At 34.5% G+C, this 24,106-nt stretch overlaps 1 protein-coding gene across 12 annotated transcripts in view; it reads left to right on the plus strand.

The window, feature by feature from the left end:
• Positions 1–24,106, plus strand: part of CNTN5 (contactin 5) — a 1,337,937-nt gene that overhangs the window by 810,024 nt on the left and 503,807 nt on the right. For all 12 annotated transcript variants that reach the window (XM_017017926.2, NM_014361.4, XM_011542871.2 and 9 more), the window contains 2 exons: positions 13,880–14,003; positions 14,115–14,290. In XM_017017926.2, coding sequence (XP_016873415.1) covers positions 13,880–14,003; positions 14,115–14,290 — 300 coding nt within the window. The remainder of the gene's footprint in view (positions 1–13,879; positions 14,004–14,114; positions 14,291–24,106) is intronic.

A 24,106-nucleotide genomic window follows, 5' to 3' on the forward strand; every position in this document is an offset into this window, starting at 1 on the left:
TATTTACTAAATATTTTTGAACACAATAGTGGATTTTGGATTATAAATGGAAAGGAGAAAGAATAATGTCCACCTTCAACAAGATGACCTATTGGTTTGGCATCCTGTGAATCTTAGGTTGGTGTAAATGGAATTGAGGTTTCGGACCATGAATTTTAAATCATGATAACTAGGTTCCAATACATCTTTATTAATCAAAATAGGAACCCACACATTTTTGCTAATGAAAAATAAATTTGTTTATTCCTCTAACATAATAATCCATGCTTCAGGATTCAGCAAACTCTTGGAAAGCATTTTCTGCATCCTCCTGGTTGTGGAAGTGTTTTTCCTGCAAAAAGTTGTTGAGATGCTTAACGAAGTGGTAGTTGGTTGGCAAAAGGTCAGATGAATATAGAGAATGAGGCAAAATTTCATAGCTCAATTCGTTCAACTTTCGAAGTATTGCTTGTGTGACATGCAGTCAGGCATTGTGGTGGAGAAGAATTTGGCCCTTTCTGTTGACCAGTGCCGGCTGTTGGCGTTGCAGTTTTTGGTGCAGCTCATCCATTTGCTGAGCATACTTTTCAGATGTAATGGTATCACCAAGATTCAGAAAGCTATAGCGGATCCAACTGGCAGCAGACTGCCAGTGACCATAACTTTTTTTTTTGGTGCAAATTTGGCTTAAGGAAGTGCTTTGCAGCTTCTCTGTTCAACCACTAAGCTGGTCATCATCAGTTGTCTTATAAAATCCACTTCTCATTGCATGTCACAATGTGATCGAGAAGTGGTTGATTGTTGTTGCATAGAATAAGAGAATATGATACTTCAAAATGTTATTTTTTTTAATTTTGAGTCAGCTCATGAGGCACCTACCTACTAAGGTTTTTCACCTTTCCAATTTGCTTCAAATGCTAAATGACTAGAATGGTGGACATTGAGTTCTTCAGCAACTTCTCGTGTAGTCAGAAGAGGATCAGCTTTCATGATTGCTCTCATTTGGTTGTTGTCAACTTCCAATGGCCAACCACTGAGTTCCTTATCTTCAAGTTCCTTGTCTCCTTTGCAAAACTTCTTGAACCACCACTGTGCTGTACATTCATTAGCAGTTACTGCACAAAATGTGTTGCTGATGTTATGAGTTGTCTCCGCTGCTTTATGACCCATTTTGGACTCGAGTAAGAAAACTGCTTGAATTTGCTTTTTGTCTAACATCATTTCCATAGTCTAAAAAAAAATCAAGTAATAAGTCATTAGCAAAAAAGCAAGAAATGCCCATTAAAATGATATATAACATAACCACATTTAACAATGCATTCCAATATCCAATGGCAAATCCCAACGAGGCAAAAACTGTAATTACATTGGCATCAACCTAACACATGGAGTTGGTGCACTTTGATTGTTATCATAAGTGATAATATTACTGCATCCTCTGACCTCTCTTTTATATCTGTACGAAAGTGACAAAAAACCTATTAGACTTTAACTTATGTTGTGTGTACAACGAAATGCTACACTACCCATGAAACATTCATCAATATGCTTGTTAATAAATCGTTCTCTTCAATTCTTAGAAATCCTTGAAGGTTTTATAGTTTATACTTGTTTAAGTTTCATAAACTTCATTTCAATGTTGAAAGGCAACTTAAAGTTAAAAGAAGATTTGGACAATTTTTTTAAGAATTCATCTAAGATACTTGGTGCAAAAATTTTTCTCACCTTGTAACTATGTCATCATAAAATATAATTTCTAGTTAACACTTCAAAATTTCTTGAAATTGTCACATAAAGTATACTAATGATCATTAAAATGGCATTTCTTAAAATTTTATTGGGCATGATAGGCTGCTATTTCCTTTATATTATATTACTGAGACACTTAGTTTACATTACATGAATAAGCTAGTCACAGACATAAATTACAGCTAACCAGCAGGCAGAACAGTTGCAGCCTGGCATTAGATGTAATCCCTGAGAAAAATAAGCACAGAAGTTGATGTAGATGTAATCCCTGAGAAAAATAAGCACAGAAGTTGATGTTAAAAAGAGGATTTAAGCCTGAAAGGCAGATTTAGAATTGAGGGAGACATGATAATGTTGGGTCATGATCCAATAAAACAATCGAAACAGTGATCCAAAACCAAAAAGCAATCCTTTCTGAGAACCTGGCTGCAGGAGTCTCAGATGGATGATACTTAAAATGTCTTGATATGAAGGAAGTTATAAAGTTAGTATCTGGGTAGCCTATCAGTAAGTGGCAGAAGTTTCAGAAGGAGCTAGAGAGGACCGGACACTAACTTGATCCTAGGACAGGACTCTATAAAGGAAACTATTGTCTCCATAACAAGATAATATACAGACAATCCCTAATTTAAGGTAGTTTGATTTAGAATTTTTTAACTTTATGATGGTGTGAAAGTGATATGCATTCAGTAGAAACCATACTCTGAGAACCCATACAACCAATCTGTTTCTTACTTTCAGTAGAGTGTTCAGTAAATTACATGAGATGATAAAACTATATTATAAAATAATCTTTGTGTTAGATGACTTTGCTTAACTGGAGACTAATGTGAGTGTTCTGAACAACTTTAAAGTAGGCTAGGATAAACTCTGATGTTCAGTATATTAGTTGAATTAAATGCATTTTTGAATTATAATATTTTAAATTTAGGAATACGTTTGTTGAGGTGCAATCTTATTGTAAACTGAAGAGCATCTGTACTACTGCTCCTAGAAACTCCACTTGGAGATAGGTAGATGGGGCTTCCAGAGTCATAATTTATAATAGAACTTGATCATCCTGTTCAAGACCCTCTTGTAGAAGACTCTTGCCAACACCAGGCTAACTTTAGGCAGCCATTGTCTCCTGTTTCTTGCTCTAGCTCAGTGATTCCCAGTTGCTGTGTCGCTTCCTTCTTCGTGTTTCAGACATTTGTGGGGGTAGTCTCAGTTATTCAAGGATGTAACTTTCATTTAGGTAGTAGAGACCAGGAATTCCAAATGTCCTATAATTGCAAAGCACAGGACTCTTAAGTGTCCTGACAGGCATTTTTGTGAGTGAAAATTCTCTTCATAGTTATCTGGTAAAATAATCTGACTGGATATTTCATTACCTATGTGGTATTTTTAAATATAGTGGATATTTTAATGCAAACACTGTATGAATTGCAAGATTACACTTAGTTTTGTTCAGAACTTAACCAGAGGTTGTTGTCCATTTAGAATACCTACTACCTAACACTGGTGCCTCTCATGACACTTGGGTCACCAATTGTAGACACCTGGATTAGTTTGCGTTTGTAGATGCTGCATTCACGGGGATTTTTATGAACAAAAACTCTTGATTGCTTCTTTATGTTGTCTATTATAATTCTGAAAACTTACATATTGAAAATTTATTGAATTAAATATTGTTTTAGGCTGGGCACAGTGGCTTATGCCTGTAATTGCAGCACTTTGGGAGGCTAAGGTAGAAAGATTGGTTTAGCCCAGGAGGTTGCGGCTGCAGTGAGCCATGATTGTGCCAGCCTGGATGACGGAGCAAGACCTTGTTTCAAGAAAAGAAAAGACCAAACCACAATTTTACAGCAAACGATTGCACTTTTATTTGTCCTTTTAAAATCATTTTTAAAAGAATTACCCGTAGGTAGTTAGAATATTCATTAATTTCATTTGACAATCACAAAGGAAGAGCATAAAATAGTTATGATTTAAAAACTTTGAGAACTGCTAGATGGATGTAAGGTACTTTTTCTCCATTCCATATTGTTTTTCTCAACTTGCTGAGACTAAGATAGATGGGGTTACTACTAAGGCTCAGGGATAACAAAAGAGTAAGGGAAAAACAGGAATACATATATATGATTTTATAATTTACAAGTTTAGTTTAAACATCTCTGATTTATGCTACTCTAGATGACTGCCTCCACAGTCAAGACCATCTTGCCCTAGCCATTTATTTGATACCTTGTTTTCCTAATGTAAAGCTGAGAGAAAGCTATCCAGAGTAATTCAGGAGTTTCCCTTCTTATATGTCTACCTTCCATGTTTCAGTTAACTGTTTGAAGACCTATTGCTTCCATGATGCAAACTCCTTTCAAAAAGTTTATGTTCCCCTCCAAGGAGACTCTGTCCTTTACCCAGATTATTGAGTCCTACTTTGCTGTACGTGGTTGCCCTGTGGCGGGTAAGATCAGTACCATCACTACCTAAAATTGGTTCAGATGCAGAAACTGATGATGACGCATATGTTCAAAAAGGGTATGAAGAGATTTATTCTTCGTAACATGAGGCTTTCTGAGAAGACACATTGGTATGAAAACAGCCTGAGTGAAAAAAGGAATGAATGACTTGGATTTTTAACTGTGGTTGTGAGGTAGGGTTGGGATGAGGGTTCCTATGTGGGCCAGGGTTTGTGTGGTGTAAACTTCTCCACTGGAGTCAGGGCAGGAGGTGCCCAACTTCTGACCTTGCCCAGAGGTGAGGCAATAGGGAAAAGGCAAATAATGTGGCTTGAAAGCTGTCAGCAGTCAAAGAGCTGACATAATGTCAGACTCTTAATTACATGAGTCTATAGTGAATGTCAGTCACTTTAAAATCCAAAACAAGAACCACAGCAGCACCCATACAACATAAATGTGTACGTAATAGCACTGGGCCTTCTAGAAGGGTTAACATAGGATTTAGGAATGGAAACATATGGATGAAAACCCATTTTCAGAATATGGCCATGTGAAGAAGGCTTGGAGCTCAAGAATTAAGTAGAAAGCTAATTTAAAAAACTGGAGCACTATAACTGGTCAAGCTAAATACATGGTTGACTGGTTAAATACCTCCTGTCATAGGCCCTAGGCCTGGAAATACATGCTAGCTAAGTAGTAAGCAATCAAGTGGTCTGAACTAGAGAAGATGGTTTATCAGCAAGACTATGTAATATTGTTATAGGAAAGAGGTCCGGATACAGACCCCAAGAGAGGGTTGTTGGATCTTATGCAAGAAAGAATTTAGGGCAAGTCCGTAAAGTGAAAGCAAGTTTATTAAGAAAGTAAAGAAATAAAAGAATGGCTACTCCATAGACAGTCCAAAGGGCTGCTGGTTACCCATTTTAATGGTTATTCCTTGATTATATGCTAAACAAGGGGTGGTTTGTTCATGCCTCCCCTTGTTTTTTTTTTTTTTAATTTTTCTTTTTTTTTAATTATACTTTAAGTTCTAGGGTACATGTGCGCAACGTGCAGGTTTGTTACATATGTATACATGTGCCATGTTGGTGTGCTGCACCCATTAACTCGTCACTTACATTAGGTATATCTCCTAATGCTATCCCTCCCCCCTCCCCCAACCCCCGACAGGCCCTGGTGTGTGATGTTCCCCACCCTGTGTCGAAGTGTTCTCATTGTTCAATTCCTACCTATGAGTGAGAACATGCGGTGTTTGGTTTTTTGTCCTTGCGATAGTTTGCTGAGAATGATGGTTTCCAGCTTCATCCATGTCCCTACAAAGGACATAAACTCATCCTTTTTTATGGCTGCACAGTATTCCATGGTGTATATGTGCCACATTTTCTTAATCCAGTCTATCATTGATGGACATTTGGGTTGGTTCCAAGTCTTTGCTATTGTGAATAGTGCCACAGTAAACATACGTGTGCATGTGTCTTTATAGCAGCATGATTTATAATCCTTTGGGTATATACCCAGTAATGGGATGGCTGGGTCAAATGGTATTTCTAGTTCTAGATCCTTGAGGAATCGCCACACTGTCTTCCACAATGGTTGAACTAGTTTACAGTCTCACCAACAGTGTAAAAGCATTCCTATTTCTCCACATCCTCTCCAGCACCTGTTGTTTCCTGACTTTTTAATGATTGCCATTCTAACTGGTGTGAGATGGTATCACATTGTGGTTCATGACTCTCCTTTTTAGACCATATAGGGTAAATTCCTGACTTTGCCATGGAATTTGTAAAATGTCATGGTGCTGGTGGGAGTGTAGCAGTGAAGATGACCAGAGGTCACTCTCATGGCTGTTTTTGTTTTGGTGGATTTTGGCTGGCTGCTTTACTTTAGCCTGTTTTATCAGCAAGGTCTTTATGACTTGTATCTTGTGCTTACCTCCTGTCTTATTTGTGACTGAGAATGTCTTAACCATCTGGGAATGCAGCTCAGTAGGTCTCAGTCTCATTTTTCCCAGCCTCTGTTCACGATGGAGTTGCTCTGTTTCAAATGTTTCTGATGATGATATACAGTTCAATGAACTTTGTTTCTTAATGAAATTACATCTTCTTTAATAGTTTAAAATGATTTTATTTTAATGTAATATTAGCCAACATCAGAAACTCTGGACACTATAACAAATTACTTCTTAACACATTAACATGTTTCTTTTGTATTCACATCACATTCTGCTTAGTTGTTGAATGAAGTGCTCTCCATACAGAAAGTTTTGGAACCACTTTCAGTTGATCTAATATCTTTGATATCTTTTAAAGCCTTACTGGCATCTTCTGCTCCTTTACCTTTAGAAAACTGACAAATAGGAGAGGATAAAAGATTGTGCATGACTTTTTTTTGTATCTAGTCCTGTATTTTACATACATTTCAGTCTAGAACTAAGTCACATGGCCCCATGTCAAACCTAAAAAAGGCCAAGAAAGTGTCCCAGTGTTCCTAGGAAAAGGAAATGGGATTAGGGAGCATCTAGCCAGTACTTGCCACACATGAGTAAAAAAAAAAAAAAAAAAAACCTATCAAATATCACATGTGATAATGATGACATTAAAATTACACTAATATAATTTTAACATCAAGAATAAAGTGGGCTCTTAGGAAATACTTTATTGAGTGATTATGATTAAAATTATTTAAGGTCAGTTCTATGGGTTATATAGAAACAGCTTTGTTTTAGTAAAAGCTAAAAGTAAAAAAACTTCATTTTTGTTAATTTCTCATTTTTCATAATATTTTATTAGAGGGACTTAGGGTATCCTTAGTAGAAACTTCAAATTTTAATCTTAAAATATGAAGTTTATAAAATACAGAAAATATGTCAATTTCTATAAGTTAAATAGTTATATTAACATGCAGGTAAATGTAACTACCAGAAAATCTTGAGTAAAGTATGTCTATTATGGAGTAGAATTGGGTAAAAAACTGTCCTCATCTAGGATACAAATTTACGGTTTTAATTTTAAGATGAACTTTATCTTCAGACAATAATCTGTTATGACCTCATGTATTACTGGATGTAACCAAGCTAAGACTGGATATAGATCCCACAGATATTTTTGGAAATGATGCCTGAAATGAATCGTTCTTCTTCCAGTTCTGAAAGCTTATGGCCCTATGATAGCATAAAAATCAAACATCTATCAAGTATTTTTATTTTCTCCAGTATCACTCTTTGTAAATGATACTTCTATCTCTTATTTTTTGTTTTTTCATCTTTTATTTTTAAAATAATTTTCTCACAATTAATATAGGGAGAGGAAAAATGGTTTATTAGTTACCTATTCCTATATTTAAAAAATCCTCAAAACTTAGCAATTTAAAACAACAATCAAGCATTTTCTCTTCAAGTCTGAAATCTGAGTACCTTAGCTGGGAGGTTCTGGCTCTAGGTCTTTCATGAGGCTGCAGTCATGCTGTCAGTTATAGCTCCATTCTCATTTGAAAACTTTACAAAGGGAGGATCCACTTAACAATTCACCTATGTGATTGTTGTTAGGCCTCAGTTTCTTGCTGCCTTTTGGCCAAGCCAGGTATTTCAGTTCCTTACCATGTCGGCCTCTCCACAGCCTGAAAAAATTTCCTTTGGATATGCAATGGTCTTCTTCTTGAGGGAGTGACCCACGAGGAAAGTGTACCCCAGAAGGAAGTTGCATTACTTAGTATTAGAAGTAATATAGTATGCCTTTTGCTTTTAGCTAGAAATAAGTCATTAAGTCAAGCTGACACTCACGGGGAAAGAAATTAAGCTCAACTCCTTGAAGGGAGGGTTATCAAAAAAGTTGTGGACATATCTTTTAAACTAACCCAAGTAGGTTTGGAAAAATTCTTCACAAGTAGGTTTGGAAAAATTCTTCACAAGTTAATTGGTCTAAAGATGATATAAAAGGCATGTTTACTTTATATCATTATTTTGAAATACAATTAAAACAAACAAGATTAAAAAGGAGGCATGAAAAGGTTACTTTCATTGAAACAAGGAAAAAAGGCTTGAAAATAATGAGGAAAGAAATATCCGACAATTGCCTTTGTCGTCAGACTTCAAGACAAATATCAGTTTACCTAATGGTAAGTCACCAGCCCTTAAAAGAAATGTGTACTCAATTGTTCATTAATAAAGGTAAAATAATCGGGTGAAGTCTGTGTGAAAGTGGACAAATGACTCAGGATACTTCAGAACATATCGAAGGAGGCAGTGAAATAAGAACTACTATGACAAGCGTTTTATATATATATATTTTTTTCAATCTAAGTTTTTGTATGGGAGGACCATTGAAGTTGAGGCAGAGGGAAGGAGGCAAGAGATTGAGAAACCGTCAGATTATAGTCAAACTCCTAACCTAAGGATTTTCCCTGTGAACCACGCAGATGTCCTTAAAAAGGAAATAGGGTTAATACAGACATATAACATCTATGCATTTAGATATTACTGATAATCACATTACTAAGAACAGTTAAAAGAAGCAATATAAGAAACCAAAGTAGATATAAGATAATAGAATATGATATGTAAGTTTTGGAGCTCGGGAAACAAATGGAAGAGAGAAAAAATGATTAAAGAGTTGAAACTCTTAGTAGTAGTAATATATTTGCACCTAATTAGATAGTAATACAGCAACCAAACTCAACAAAGTCAAACAAAAAAGAAGATAAACCATTACACAGTTTATGGAGAGAACTTTTTTTCTTTTTAAAGAAAAACAAGGTATGCCTAACTGGTATGAGGGGAATAGAGCAAATGAGAAATAAATTTTCCTGAAAAAGAAAGTCATAAGACTGAAAGTTAAAAAGGCCAACTGAGTCACAGAAAAAAAAATCGTACAAGATGACTACACCAAGACATATCCCTCAAAATTATTGATATTCACGGGTGAGTAAAGAATCCTGTGGGTGTCCATGCATAAAATCTGGTCACTTAAAAATGATGACAGTTAGGCCGGAGTCAGACTACTTCACCATGGTAATGTCCATTGTTACCAGAGGGTGGAAAAATACACGCAAAATCATTAGTTAAATTAGTAGTGAACGTGTAATTTGATACCTGCCAAGTTGTCTCTTAATGATAAAGAAAGAATACATACATCTTAACTATGCAAAAAGGAATACAGCATACAAGAGCTTGTTTTTGGTAAAAAATAAGGAACTTAGAAATGGAAAAACCATGGGAAGATACATAAGTATCTAGTCTCATAATAAGAACTATGAATAAGAAACTTTGTAAAATATGCTTATCAAACAATTGAGAAAATTTAAGAAGTATACTTGAGAAGTCCATCATTCTTCGTAGCAGAGAATAAACAGATTATTTCCAAATTGAAACAATTCTTTTCTAAGAAAAAAAAAAGCCTCTTGAGTATGACCCTGGCATTTCACAGACAATAACCACTGACGTTGTATGTTCAGCCAACTACAGATACCTAGCAGTTTGTTAATAAGAGATCTGATAGAGGAAAAAAACACAGAAAACCATTGCTTTTATGAGACGTTAACATTGTGTGTGATGACATCTGCCCATTACACAAATGTGTCGAAGGCTTCTACTTGGTTGAAGAGTTTAATTAATTGGCTATCAAGATCTTTGTGATAATTTGCTATTATACAGCATTTGAAGTGTTATCTCCAACAAGTTATAGATTCCATCAAGCAAAAGAGTGCAGAATGTAAGTATATGGATTTAAACAGTGGATCATTATGACCAGAAGATAAAATTCACTGCTACAGCAGAATGAATAAAAAATGTATCTCAGTATATCTATAATCTCTTTACAGTAGAAACATCACTGATTATCTTTGCTGGGGACTGGGAAGCTGTACGTAGACATGTTTCTTTTCCCCCCCTTAACATGAATTTTACTTCTAAGATGAAAAAAGGAAGGGAAGGGAGCCACTGTTTAACTTGGCATTTGAAATACTTTCTTTTTCACATTTCTATTTACTGTCATTTATGTTGACGCACTGGCTTAACAGCAACAAAATAAATGATGGAGTCACTGAATAGGGCTAAGATGCTTTGGGAACTAACAATGAACAGCAAAGAGATGTCTCACAAAGTATGGGCAGTAATAATAAAATATATGTTCAGATTAGTCCCTTATTATTTAGCCTATAATTTACCAAATCTTACTTCTCTAGTTTTCCCCAGCCGGACCATATTTTATTTCTCTTGTCCTGTTTTCACAATTTTCAGAACATAAAATTTGGAACCAGAGAATCTTAAAATCAACTGTCTTCTTATACGGCTAACTTTGCAGGAGTCTCCTCTAAGAAGCTTGGAGTTTTCAGCTTGCAATTAGAAATGACTATGATACTGAGCTGAGATAATTAGATAATATATATACATATATAAAATCATGCTTTATAAATGTTAGCACATAAGTATAATAAGAGTGAGAAAAAGGGGAGGAGGAGGAAAAGAAGCAGCAGAAGCAGCAGAAGCAGCATCAGCAGAAGAGGAGGAGGAGAATGAAGGAGAAGGAGAATGAAGAAGGAGGAAGAGAATGACAAGAATGAAAAATAAGAAGAAATAATAGTCATGGTAGTAGTAAGCAGTTTCAAGAATTCAATAGCCTTAGATTTATATTCCAGGTTTGACATTTATATATATATATATATATGTGGTGTGTGTGTATATATGTGTGTATATATATATACACACACACACACACATATATATACACACATATATACACATACATATACATATATATATATTTTTTTTTTATGGAGTTTCACTCTTGTTGCCCAGACAGGAGTGCAGTGGAGCGATCTCAGCTCGCTGCAACTTCCACCTCCATTGTTCAAGCGATTCTCCTGCCTCAGCCTCTGAAGTAGCTGGAATTACAGGCATGCACCCCACGCACCACCACGCCCAGCTAATTTTGTATGTTTAGTACAGATAGGGTTTCACCGTGTTGGCCAGGCTTCTCTCAAACTACTGACCTCAGATGATGCACCCACCTCAGCCTCCCAAAGTGGTGAAAGTACAGGTGTAAGCCACCACACCCGGGTATTTCCTTTCTAGATTTAGCTAATTGTTTTCTGTCTCAGTTTTGTCATCTCTAAGATAAAAGGACTGATTATTGCCAATGGTGATTGTGAGTGTTTCGTGATATTATGCATGAGAAGTATTCAGCATAATGTCTGGCATATAGTAATTATACTACAAGTAAATATTAGTTATTAATCACAATTTATTCAGTGCTTGCAATATACAAGGTATTTGCAAATGTTAATAACAACTGATATTCCTACTAATACTGTAAAGTAGGCATTATTATCCACAAATAATACTTGAGTAGCAGATAATCAAAGATGTTTGGTTCATGGCTAAAAAATACTACTACTAGAATTTGAACTTACATGTGTCCAACTCTAAAGCTCAGGAGTTGTCTATAACACTTATTATATGTGAATTTTATGCAGCATAGCTATTTTTAATGTTTAAGTCATAGTTTTAATGTGTAAAGATCAGAAAGGGTTTTTTTTCCCACAGCGTAATTCTGCAAGTTAATTCTTAAAATTTGATTTATAAAAGTTGTGATTTATAAAAATTTATAGAAGTTTTCCAATTTTTTATAAACTCATAATGCAACAACAAATACAAAATTTTGACAATTTTCTCTAGTTATTTATTAAATCATTTATTTTTCTTTTCCTTATTGAATAAAAGTTTTAATTGACAGCAATATAATTTGGTACAGTGAGACATATTCTGGTTATTTTGGTGTAGTATTTTGCTCGTAGCTCAAAAAAAGTGCAGCTAGGCCAGTCGAGGTGGTTCACTTCTGCATTCCCAGCACTTTGGGAGGCCTAGGCGGGCGGATTACTTGAGGTTAGGAGTGTGAGACCAGCCTGGCCAACATGGCAAAAACCTGTCTCTACTAAAAATACAAAAATTAGCTAGGCATGGTGGCTGTAATTGCAGCTACTCAGGTGGCTGTGGCAGGATAATTGCTTGAACCTAGGAGGCAGAGGTTGCAGTGAGCCAAGATCGTGCCACTGCTCTCTAGACAGAGTGGGAGTGAGACTCTCTCAAAAACAAACAAACAAAAAACTTGCATCTAGGTTATCTAGGATTCAAAGAAAATACTCGTCAGTACATGCTCATAGTGACTGCTCAATTTTTATTTGGTTTAGAATACTGTGAAAACTTTTGTTTTACTTCGCCAAGACAAAATATTTAAAGAAATATATTTAAAGAAAGCAAATCATTTTACTCCAAATTTGTTCTTCTAAATATAAGGTGTACATCTTTTCCCAGAATTTTTTTTTAGCTCAAATTTCCTGGAACATTTATTTTTATACTTTTTTTCTGAATATTTTCTTGTGATTATCTGCAAAAGATATAAACTTCTGTTTAATACATATATTGGAACTATGTCTTTACTGAAATAATTTCTCTTTATCTGTAGCAGTAGTTTTTAACAAGGGTCATTTTGATCCTAGAGCACATATAACAATGTCTGGATACCTTTTTTATTATTACACATTGGAGAGAGATGCTACTGGAATCTAGTGGGTAGAGGCCACGGATGCTGCTAACCATTCTACAATGCACAGGACAGCCCCGCCTCAACAGAAAGATCTGTCCCAAAACATCAATGGTACAGAGACTGAGAAACCTGATCTAGGGCTATTATGTGATCAAATTCATGATCAATGAAAATTAAGCAAAAAAAGCTTTACTTTTTCACAAATTCACAATTCACTATGCTATAGATCTTAGATACGCACACGATGCTCTGAATGCTTACGTAACTGTGGGCTGACATAACTTGTATTATCCTCTGTACATTTGCTCATCATTTCTCCAGCTGACTTGGTCTAAAACTCAAGTCCAAGTTGACATTTGAAGTCCATTTTTAGTTTCACTTTCTTCATGAAATTTTCATTAGCTTCAAATTACTTTTATCACACACAGAATTTCTCTGAGTATTAGCTAACTAAAATAGAATCGAGTGTCTGGTATATAGTAGGCAATAAATTTATGTGCTCTTCCCACTGGCCTCCACTTCCTTTTATGCCTTTTGTCTTCTGATCTTATTGACTATTTAGTTGTATAAAGTTTTGCCATTTTAATTAAGTTGTCTTTTTTTGAAAGCATGTCTTATTTATTCCATGAAAATACCTTTATGCATGTTACATCATTTTTTTACACCCCAGAATTGTTAGCACTAAATGTAGTGCTTCAGTGAATTAATGAAGAATATAAAAAAATGCAAGAGGACTAATATTTTCATACCTGTAGCACCTAAGTAGTGACACAATATTAATATATTACTTTTGCGTGTGTATTATTTTTAACATTCTAAGAATTTTACAAACTTTCAGGTTTTTTAAGATATTGTTTATGCTTAATATTATTATCCTTCAGTCTGATTTTGAAAAATGAAAACAAAGATATATATTTAAAATATAAATGTCTGAGGTTTGTTTTTTATGTATTACACGTTTAACAGCATTTTTAGTTGATTAAAAATTATATTTGGTTCTTTACAATTTAATAAAACAATGCAGTTTTCTAGCTATTCCTTCTTTTGGGAATTTACCTGTTGATTACAAGAAAAGAGCAAGAATTTTGAATATAAGTAAGATGGAAAAGAAAAAAACACAAAATATCTTGCTAGTTTAAGGAAATTTAAAATGTGTCTGTTTTGTCTTTACAGAAAGTGTGGACTATGGGCCAGTTTTTGTGCAAGAACCAGATGATATTATTTTTCCAACTGATTCTGATGAAAAGAAGGTAGCATTGAATTGTGAAGTTCGTGGCAATCCAGTTCCCAGTTACAGGTAGGAATTCACTGTTAATCATTTTTCTTAAGCCTTAAAAACTTTCCATCAATGATATTCTGACACTCTCAGGGAGGATTATACATATTTGTCTTCTGATTTTTTCCTAAGATGGCTTCGAAATGGAACAGAAATAGATCTGGAAAGTGATTATCGCTACAGTTTGATAGATGGCACCTTCATTATAAGCAATCCAAGTGAAGCAAAGGATTCTGGTCATTATCAGTGTTTAGCAACCAACACTGTGGGGAGTATTCTTAGTAGAGAAGCTACACTGCAGTTTGCCTGTGAGTAAAATATATGATTTTTCTATATATATGTATATAGTGTGTATATACAGTATGGATTTTTAAAATTTAGTTCAGGAAAGAAAAGCCTAAGATCTCAAATCTTTTTTTTTTTTTTTTTTTTTTTTGAGGCGGAGTCTCGCTCTGTCGCCCAGGCTGGAGTGCAGTGGCGGGATCTCGGCTCACTGCAAGCTCCGCCTCCCGGGTTCACGCCATTCTCCTGCCTCAGCCTCCCAAGTAGCTGGGACTACAGGCGCCCGCCACTACGCCCGGCTAATTTTTTGTATTTTTAGTAGAGACGGGGTTTCACCGTTTCAGCCGGGATGGTGTCGATCTCCTGACCTCGTGATCCGCCCGCCTCGGCCTCCCAAAGTGCTGGGATTACAGGCGTGAGCCACCGCGCCCGGCCCTTCTTGGGATATTTTGAAATTTTCTAAAAGATTTGCTGTCCTCAAAATAAACTTGATAAACTAGCCTGACAGGTTGAAGTCCTTTTCATGAAAGTAGATAAAGTTTTAGAATTCATAACAGTCTATTTTGAAACCCACCACTTTTTATGTGTTATTTTCAAGTCTTTGAGTTCAAATTAAGCTTCCTATGAGAAAAAAAAATGATAATCCAAATTTCTTTTGAAATCGGATTCTCTCCATCTCCTTTTTAAGATATCTATAATTCTACTAACTACTATAGTCACCATTTGCTATGGATTTCTAAGAATATAAGATAGCATATTCTAAAACTTCTGCTTATAGCCAGGTAACAAAAAATACCTCTGAAATGCTAATATTTTAGATTTTGACTATATCTCCTAGATGTCCCAGTTTTCGTATTGCAAAAAAGATATTGTATGTGGCTATACGGACATAGACACACACACACACACACACACACACACACACGAATATAAACATTTCTAAAGTAGATAATACACCTGATTAAATGAAAATTAGCCAGGTGAGGCAGCAGGTGCCTGTAGACACAGCTACCTGGGAGGCTGAGGCAGGAGAATTGCTTGAACCTGGGAGGTGGAGGTTGTAGTGAGCCGAGATTGCGCCACCACACTCCAGCCTGGGCGACAGAGTGAGGATCTGTCTCAAAAAAAAAAAAAAAAAAAAAAAGAAGTGTGTATATATAATTAACTAAATATGTTCTTAAAAACTCTTGAAATTATTTTACTTATAATGAGAGCTTACAATAAATTAAAAATAGGCTAATAGGTAAAACCTTTTATTATTATTCCTTAATAAGTAATCCTACTTGAAATTAAGTTCTTGAGGATAGAATCTCTAAAAAATACTGAGAAAGACTAGGAATCTTTATATTAATAATTAAAGTGTAATTGTAGTGGCTACATAAGAGATCATGAAATGATTTTTAAATTAAAGTTACACCTGGAAGAATGTAATAATTGATATTTCTCTATGTAATCTTTCCCAGGTATCATTTCTAATTAACCCAGAATTCAGACACCCTATTAAAGAAGTGTGAAATAGAAAAGGAAAGAATAAAGAATTGATAATAAATACAGTTTGAAGAGTACCGAGATAGGTCCTAGAAAAATGTAAATATCATATTTTAAAGTAGATTTGCCTAAGGAATTCAGATAGGTACATTTACATAGGCCAAAGACACCAAGATAGCAGCCTAAATAGATTCTTTTTTATTTTGGAAAATATTATGTGGTGTATCACAGAACCTAATACTTTACATTATGCACAATTAATCAAGTAGCCTAATAAACTAAATAAATAACCCTCATAATAGCTCCTTTATTCAATAGTCTTTTCAAGATAGATGCAGAATATCAAGAAAATATGCTATACAAATATTAGTGGCTTATACCTTACAGTTTGGTCTACAGTATTTGATACAAGGTATACCAGTTAGCTATAGCCTGTATGTCAGTTGTTTTTCCCTTTGTGGAAGCAAATCATGCCAACTTTTTTCTGCATGCGTTTAGAGCAGAAAGCTATTTATTTTACATATCCATATGACTGTCCTAGGTTTTCTGGAAAGACCAAACATAGTTGTCAAATACACTCATCTGAAGTGATGACTTTGGCAGCAGCGTTTACAATTCAATGACCAGGCATGGGAAATACTGTTTATCTAAAGTATCTTACCTATTTAGCATGAAGCTGTCTTCAACTTGATTTAGAGCAATATCTGCTTATTTTTAACTTAAGCATTATGGGCTTACATAGGTATTCAGTGGTAGCACCTTATGACTCTGCCCCTCTCTACTTTCCACCAAACTCAGGTCATTGGCTACATACGCATAAAAACCCACAAGGTACCTGGTTAAAGCAGACAGTTACCCAGGGAAGACCAATTCTGCCTCAAAATTGTTTCTCCACCTAGATGCCATTATGCTTATTCCTATGATATTGAAACAATGAAGTCCCATAGATGTAGTTTCATCTATTTTTCCAGTTTATCTTTGAAAATAAATGCAAATATGGGCAGTAGGGAGAAAAGATGAAGATTTGATTAACCTACCAGTATACCTGGATGGGAGTTTGGGTGCTATAGGATTCGGGGACTCAGAATCGTTCAAAGATTAGGGAGAGAAACTGAGGTAGGAAGTTGGGGAGAAAAAAGAAAAGGGGTTCCTGAAATGAAGTGAAAGAACACAAAGGCAAGGTGAAACTTGAAAAATTAGTCCGCAGGCTGGGCGCGGTGGCTCACGCCCATAACCCCAGCATTTTGGGCAGCCGAGGCGGGCGGATCACGAGTTCAGGAGTTCGAGACCATCCTGGCGAACACGGTGAAACCCATCTCTACTAAAAATACAAAAAATTAGCCGGGCCTGGTGGCACATGCCTGTAGTCCCAGCTACTAGGGAGACTGAGGCAGGAGATCGCTTGAACCCGGGAGGCGGAGCTTGCAGTGAGCCGAGATCACACCACTGCACTCCAGCCTGGGCGACAAAGCGAGACTCCTTCTCAAAACAAAACAAAACAAACAAAAAATTCGGTTGGCAACTTTCCTTTACATTGAGATTTTCTGAAGACCAGGCTTGTAGGTCAATATATTTAATAGAATATACTCACTGTTGCTGGAGTGTTTAATGTCTGAAAGGATTTTTGTGGAGGAATGCTTATTACTTTTGTCACATTTTAAAGCTAAAATATTTTATATCTACCAGGCTTTATTTATCTAAAAATATAAATATTCATTATACAACTAATATTTCAAAATTAATATATTTAATCGACTGAGATAATGATTAAAGCATATTTAATCCAATTTTGTTAAACATTTATTAAATATTGAATATGAGTCTTAAATTTATTAAATGTTTTAAAATCAGACTAAATTTATAAATCGTCAAAATGATTGCAAAACTTTTCACTGATACAGTACTTATAATTCCACTTTGTAGCTATTCTTGAGGCATATTTGCATATGTTACTCAGTTTATAATAGTTTTATTGAATACTTATTTTTACCTTTTACACTTTAATTTTATCATATGTTGTAAAATACCTTTTTAGATTATTTTTATGCTGGGCTAGTGCTATCAGGATCTTCTAAAGTCAAACATGAAGGAGGACTGTATTACCCAATTCAAAGTCTATTTTTGAGGTACCAACCAAATGAGTTTTGATTGCCTCTTTCAAATTCGAGATCTGTTTAACAGACCAGTTCACTTTGGTGATTAACCATTATTATTGTTATATCAATGATACTTTCTAAATCTTCACCTTTTACTTTTTGCCTTTTAAAATTTGACAACTTTGCTTGAAATTGTGTGATTCTATAACTTGTTGAACAGTGTTTAATAAACGTAGGATGGGGCTCTCCTAATTATATTCATAAAAAAGGTACTAATTTGTATTTTATAATAGGTATATACTTAATTGAAGAATTAAGTTATCCATATACTAACATAATATCAAATTATCCATATACTAACAATTATTATACATATTTATTGTGATAAGATAAATATTAAATATAATAAAATGTAAAGATATATCATCGAAGTTTTCTTTCTTTTGCATGAAAATTACATATTTTCAAAGAAAACTTTGATTTTTAGTATCATTAAAGTCACATGGCTTTTTGCAGATTCAACATATATATATATATGCATAATTAGTATATATATACACATATGCATAATTAGTATACTGACACTCCCTTAATGCTAGGAGTACTCTTATTAACCAGAAATATATTTTAAAATGTTCTGCCTTTCCACTAATAACAGCTTGCCTTCCTGCTCCCAACCCCTTGTCAGGCATAGATTTACCTGCTTTTCAATGAGTGTAATGTCATAGAGACTAAAATCTAGGTGCTGCAGGTGCATATTAGATAGCACCAAATAAGTTCTGGTGGTAGGTAGGATAACATTATTGCTAAACCAGATAGTAAAAAATATTTTTTAAAAATAGGTTTTGAATGTCTCAAGCTCACATTGACAGCTTGTATTTACTGAATGCTTTTGTTGCAGACGATGCTCTGTTTCAAATACATTAACTCATTTTATCCTCATAACCAACATACGATTTGTTCATGTTGTAAAATGTAAATTCATTTTTCAGATGATAACTCTAATTTAACCCTAATAGTACTCAATCTTTCCCTATTCCAGTATAAATGTGTATTGGATTTCTTTTTTGACTTAGCCAATTTGACTTCAGAAGTTCTTTTTCTAAACTTTAATTAAATTGGAATCTTTTTAAAAATCTTACATGCTTGCTTCCTCAGTCATCATTTTAGAATTTATTAACACCTATGTAACAAAAATTAATATTAGTAATGAAAATAAGCATGCAATCATAGTGTTCTGCATTTCTTCTCATTGTTCAGATTTAGTTTAAAACCACTTATTTAATTTTCCTTACAGAAGTTTAACAGTTTAGGAGACATTGAGTTTCTTTCCAGATCTGGAATTTTGGGCTTATAGTAATTTTGATGTGTAATCACTCTTTCTTACTAACATATTTTTTCTTTTAATAAAACCTTTTCCTCATAATTTATTTATTGAATAACATACAGTGAGGACCTAGAAAGCTACATTTTCTAAATGAATTTGAGACAGGACAAAGATAACTGCAGCTATTGTCAAAAGCTGATATCATCATAGGTCCTAGCTTTCGCAGAAAATGATGACAAGGAACTGAGTATTGACACCTTTTATTAATATCTGGTGATGTAGCAAAAATAAAATTATATATAGCATTTGGAAAAATTAAGCAAGTATAAAGCAAATTAAATTGTTTTTAAAGTTTCATTTCTATTCATTTGTCACCCAATATATTTACAAATATGAAATAGCAAATGTATGCTTGTATAATAATGTTACTTTATTAACATATTTAATGTTTACCTCTTTCGAAAGGTGATTTTTTTTTACTTGCTGTGTAAGATATATGCTCAAGATACATGTGTAATAAAGTAAATATAGTCCTAGGAAAAAATGTACCTTATAACAGGTCAAGGTAGTACAGACCATAAAGTGAAACAAATATTTCCCTGGTGGTCAGAGCAAAAGAAAGAAAGAAAAACATGTAAAGGAATCTAACAGAATCTATTTCCCCTGCACACCCAACACTTCCTCAAAGAAACAAATCTACTCTTGACAAATTTTCATAAAAATTTTTTGTTTGAGGCTTTTTATTGCAACCCCTACAGCATCCCTACTTCAATTCAATAGCAAGTTTAATTAGCTTGACATAAAGCCAAAAATTTCCTTAACCGGAACTAGAATTTAATCATGAAGCCATTCACTTTATTCACTGATTAATTTTTTTTTCTAATTTTGATTTGGACAACTAACAGATTTAGCAGCTGCTCTGTAGTGGTTCATCCACCCCCAACCTGCCTCATGGGCTTAAATGTCTACCCATGAGGAACTTCATTTTAAATTCTCCCATAAATAAATATTTATATATAAACATGGTTCAGCTTAGTTAGTGTTAACACTTAGTTTAGCATTAATAAACCTAACCCTCACAAGGGTGTAGTAAAAATTAATGAGGTGGAGAAGCTGTGTTAATGAACTGGTTTTTAAGGTTAAAATTAAAAACATAAGCGCAAAGCTGGAGTGATTTCCTAGGGATGATTATTACTGATTATCAATGAGATTATTTTTGACAAAAGATATTTTATTCCTGAAGCTTATGTTTGTCATGAGGATAATTTCCTCAGCTACTGTAGTGATTTCTCTTCAGTGACAAGCAAGAATACACCATATAAAACTTTGTCACTCTCACACTTTGCAAACATCCTTCAGAAATCCAAAGCTCGTAGCAGTTTCTCCACAGTTGGGATTTTTAGAAATAATTGATGCCAGAAAGTCAAACATATAATGAATCAGGAATAAAATCTCCTTATGCTGTCTCTTACTTCAAAAATACCTTTATATGCAATTCTTGGTAAATTGATAGTTCCTATCTAAATTTGAACATACTGCTTTTCAGCGCATTTAGTGATTTAGATCCAGAATATTCCATTAGTTTTCCTTGAAGCAGTTGATTAAAATAACCTACTTAACTCTTTGAGAGATTATATGACTTTTTAGGCTTTGGATTTAAGCCCTTTAATTTAACCTTTCATTTTCATATAAAACTCAAAAATTACTTCTCTGGCTTTTTTCATAACTTTTTCTCCTAAGGTAAAATTGACCTTAGAGTTTAAAACCACATTTTACTAGTAGTGTTTAATACCTAATAAAATGATTTGAATAATCCCAAACTCCACAGTATATGCAAAGCTTTATTTCATTAGTCTCTGAGGCTTAGCCTATAATAACTTTATTAAATCATTTGAATATTAATCTGAATGAGTCAGATTGACATGGATGAATTTACTAGTTGTAAAATTATTAGATGTTATTACAAAATAAATTAGTGTTTGTAACTTTATCTTCCATATACAAATGACTCTTTTTTTAAGGAAATCACAACTCACAATAAAATAATGTTTAAGTGTTTCTTTAAAAGTATAATTACTTTGGTCATAATAGATACAGTAACTGTGAGTGTGTAATCCCTTGGCAAAATACAGTATGGATTATTGGATTAAGTTCAGAGGAAACAATTTAAAAATCAAAAATACATAATTTTATGATTTACTTTAAAATACTGTATAGATGGTGTCTAGCTATTTGCCCAGGCTGGTCTTGAGCTCGTGGTTTCAAGTGATCCTCTTGCCTCAATCTTCCAAAATGCTGGGATTAGAGGCATGAGCCAAGATACCCAGCCTAATTTTATACTTTTAAAGCAAATTATGAAGAGTGAATAAAAGTTGAAATCTGTTTTAGACTACCCTCACACTCTTATTTCTTTTACATAAATCATAAATTTGCAAGTTTTTTTAATTCAAGTACAACCAAACAGGTACTTTCATTATGTATGAAAATCATGAATAACTCTGTCTTTATGTGACAGATGACCTGCAACAAAATGGTTCCATTTTCCTGGCTTGGCACAGGGTATATTTTATCATAGTGCTCTTTTGTTTTGCTTTTAGGAATTCACAAAGTCAGTTCTTCATTCAAGTTGTAAAGTAACAAGGATCAGGGACTGTATACATCTTCTGACCTTTAATGCTCAAGCACATTTACTTAATTAATTGTCCTTAATCCTTAGTAGAGTGTTTGTGGAGACCTTTCCCAAGCATAGGAGATTCCAAAGCACTAAAGAACAATAGACATTTTAAATTTCACTTAATTGTGTCAGGTTAACATGATAAAATAGCAACATATCATGATAAAACAGCAAAATATCAGGATGACTTATGATCTTCTTGAGTATAAAGACACCAATATAGTACAAAAAAGTATCAACAAAGGGGCAGTATAAATAAAGGGGCAGATAGAGACTATTCTAAGATCATTTCATTCCACAGTAAAATATTTCACTGAGGGACAAGTCAGAACAGAATATGTAGTACCCCGGAGATCTTGCAGACTTAATTACACCTGAGTCAAAGAAACAACAATTATTATGCATTGACTTTATTCCACACCAAGTGCTAAATGTTGCTATGTTTCATGTGTAACGAATAGATAGACGGATAATTGATACTTACATAGATATACATAGAGCTATAGATGTGTGTGTGAATATATATATGTAGCAGGTATGTGTGTATATGTAATATATATACGTATATATATTATTTGTATATATATATTTTTTTGAGACGGAGTTTTACTCTTGTTACCGAGGCTGGAGCACAATGGTGCATTCTCGGCTCACTGCAACCTCCGCCTCCCAGGTTCAAGCGATTCTCCTGCCTCAGCCTCCTGAGTAGTTGAGATTACAGGCATGCGCCACCATGCCTGGCTAATTTTTTGTATTTTTAGTAGAGACGGGGTTTCTCCATGTTGGTCAGCCTGGTCTGGAACTCCCAACTTTAGGTGATCCTCCTGGGATTACAGGCCTGAGCCACTGCACCCGGCTTTATATATATTTTAAAATAACATGGTAATAGTAAAATTTATTGAACATTTAAATTGTAGGCCAACTGCTAAACATATTTGATGCACCACCACCCCCTTTAATCCTCACATCAATTTGATGAAGGAAGTTCTATTATTGACCTAATGTATAAGTGGAGAAAAAAAAAATGAAGCTGAGGGAAGTCAAGGTATTTCTTCAGCCACACAGCTAGTAAGTAATAAAACAGTAGCTCCAAATCAAATCTAACATCAAACTTCCTACTTAAAATCTTTATAATACTGCCTTGTTCAACTCAAAACATACTTTGCATTACATTTTTGTTTTGCATGTCTGTAATTAATGTATGCATGTAGAATTTACTCATTATCTGATCCCTCTAGGACATTGTTCTGGGTGTTAGCCTATAGTGAGCAATGGACATATTAATAGTGCTTGAGGCTAGCAAAATCAGTACAAACCATTCTATTTCATATAAATTTCCTTGCCTACCTGGAATACCTGACCACTTTTTCTATTTCCTAACATTTTTCTTCTTTACTCCAGCCCCACTATACTCCCTCTGTATTGCTTATTGGAATTATCTATGCAAAACACAATTCTGACTAGGTTACCCCTACATAAATCTTTGATGGCTTACATTAATTGCATGGAAGTTTGTAATTTGCCCTACGGGTATACAGAGGACACCAAAGAATAAGAATGTTGCCTTAGGAATATGTATCCAGAGAACTCTGTAGGGAAAGTCACATTAGGAGGTCATTTTAATATTCCAGGTAAAAAGGGCTTGAATTCTCCCTCTGTGGGAGGCTTGAAAATAAACGAGAATTTGTAAGTGAATGAATAGGTGGTGGTGGGAGTATAAAAACATATGGAGGAGTTAGAATGACATCAAGATTCTGAGCTTGATCAATTCTATTGAACAATTTATAATGCCAGTACATAATCAAGTCACACAGATAAGGAATGTAGGTTTCTGGGAGAATAAGTAAGTTTAGTCTGAGATAGATTTATTCTGACTTTCAGGAGAAAATACCCAACATTTAAAAATATTTGTTGGTGCTCAGGAAAGGCAGATGGGAACTGGCCACAAAACATGTTGAGAGACTCAATAAAACCATGGAAATGTTTCACCAACGACAATTTGTGCTAGGAAAAAAGACAACAGACCTAAACTTCAGGAATATATGTGTTTCTCTCACAGAGACAAAATAAAGGTAGAAAGAAAGAAGCTAGTGAAAGAGAGAAGAAAGGATGATGCAATAAAATAGAGTATAATACAAATGATGTTCAAAGTTTAAAGTGGGGACTGATATCACATGCTAAAGTAACTCTCAAAAAAGACCTTTGGGCCAGGTGCTGTGGCTCACACCTCTAGTTGCAGCACTTTGAGAGGCTGAGG

Source organism: Homo sapiens, chromosome 11 (assembly GCF_000001405.40).
Source record: "Homo sapiens chromosome 11, GRCh38.p14 Primary Assembly".
NCBI classification, from domain to species: domain Eukaryota; kingdom Metazoa; phylum Chordata; class Mammalia; order Primates; family Hominidae; genus Homo; species Homo sapiens.